Consider the following 1,931-nt stretch of genomic DNA (forward strand, 5'->3'; position numbering starts at 1 on the left):
ATTTTGTATTATTATTCAAAATCTTTGTATGTCTTTGTTAGGGTTTCCCTCCTCCCTGTGGGAGAATTGTGCTCTTGTCTTTTGATGTCGGACTTGACCCCATGATTTCCTCTGGTCAATGAAATGTAATTAGAAGTAACTCAGGGCACTTGTGAGCAGAAGGTTTAAGAGGCAGCACCTGGTTCACTCTGTCTTTTTCCCTTCGCTATGAGACTGGCAAGGTTCCAGATAGCAACTGTTCTAGCAGCCAGGGTCCTGGAGAGAAGTCAACATGAAGCAGAGCCACAGATACGCCACAGATAAGCTTATGTAATGAAGGTAAGGAAACAATTTTTTTTTTTTACTTTGCCTTTTAAATCTCTGAAATTTGTGTTGTGTGCTACCACAGTATAATTTAGTCTATACTGATACGTTATCCCTCCCCACCCCCCAGCATTTTCTCAACACAGTAGCCAGAGTAAGCCTTTTAACATTGTAAACCAGATTATGCAATTTATCTTATTTGGACTTTGAATGTTCCCCTATTCCACAAGAGTAAAAGAGTCTTTCAGTGGCTGAGGAGACCCTGCCTATGTGCCATCTCACTCCCTCCTTAGCCCTCTCAACTCAATTACTGAGCATCAAGCACTTAGGCCTTCTTGTTCTTTCTTAAATTAACTCGTATCTTAGGTTTCACTCGCGTCCCTGTGAAGAGACCACCAAACAGGCTTTGTGTAAGCAATAAGGCTGTTTATTTCACCTGGGTGCAGGTGGGCTGAGTCCGAAAAGAGAGTCAGTGAAGGGAGATAGGGGTGGGACCGTTTTATAAGATTTGGGTAGGTTGTGGAAAATTACAGTCAAAGGGGGTTGTTCTCTGGCTGGCAGGGGTGGGGGTCACAAGGTGCTCATTTGGGGAGCTTTTGAGCCAGGATGAGCCAGGAGAAGGAATTTCACAAGGTAATGTCATCAGTTAAGGCAGGGACTGGCCATTTTTACTTCTTTTGTGGTGGAATGTCATCAGTTAAGGCAGGCAGCCATTTTCACTTTTTTTGTGGTTCTTCACTTGCTTGGGGCCATCTGGACATAAACGCGCAGGTCACAGGGGATACCATGGCTTAGCTTGGGCTCAGAAGCCTGACATTAGGAACTTTGCATTTACTGTTTCCTCTTTCCTCTGGCTAACACCCTCACTTGCTTCAAGTCTTCACCCAGGTGTTACTTTCTCAATGACTCCTACCTTAACCACCCTATTTAAAATTGCAACCTATTAACCAACTTCTCCCCCACTGCCTGCAGATTTCATATCTCCTTTGGCCTAATTCACACTTTTCTTCATTCCTTCTGTCAACTTTGAACATACTATGCAATCTATGTAACTATTTACATTTAGTTTTTATTGTCTGTGAACACTCAAGAGAGAGCTTTGTGAAGTCAGGGATCTTTCTGTTCATACAATACTGAACTAGGATAGTGGCTGATATATAGTAAGCATTATTTGGTGATAAGCATTGGACCAAAAAAAAAAATTTCTATCCGTTTCCTGTCCAAAAGACTACCAGTATAGGTAGAGAATAGAAAAGAGAGTTTTACTGGAAATATCAGTTTACAAACTGGGGAGAGATAGTCTCTGGCTTTAACTGAAACTATTCTCTCTGAAGAAGATAGAGAAGGTTACAGGTTTTATGAAAAGGAGAAATGTTATGTATTACTCTTTGAGAAATTTCATTGGCACTAGTAAGGTTTTGAGAAATTGGCAAGCTTTGATTGGTAAGTGACAACCAGAACCTTGGGCAAAACTAGTCTGAGAGTTGCAGCAGATTGTTTCAGTGGTCATTAGATAAAACTGGTTTTAGGTTACCTTAAGGCAGTTTCAGCTTCCAAGCTTGCAGAAAATTACATTTGTGGAGGAATGTTATGTGCCCTGAGTGCTCCCCCACCCGCCTCCTGCTGGC

The 1,931-nt window shown here is 41.9% G+C and overlaps 1 annotated feature.

Moving 5' to 3' along the window:
- Positions 504 to 1,224: an enhancer, noted in NCBI's record as "H3K27ac hESC enhancer chr2:184862331-184863051 (GRCh37/hg19 assembly coordinates)". NCBI's record gives its function as "activates a minimal SCP1, AML or CMV promoter by ChIP-STARR-seq in primed H9 embryonic stem cells {active_cell/tissue: H9 hESC(primed)}" and the evidence as "EXISTENCE:reporter gene assay evidence [ECO:0000049][PMID:30033119]".

Source organism: Homo sapiens, chromosome 2, assembly GCF_000001405.40.
Source record: "Homo sapiens chromosome 2, GRCh38.p14 Primary Assembly".
Classification (NCBI taxonomy): Eukaryota; Metazoa; Chordata; class Mammalia; order Primates; family Hominidae; genus Homo; species Homo sapiens.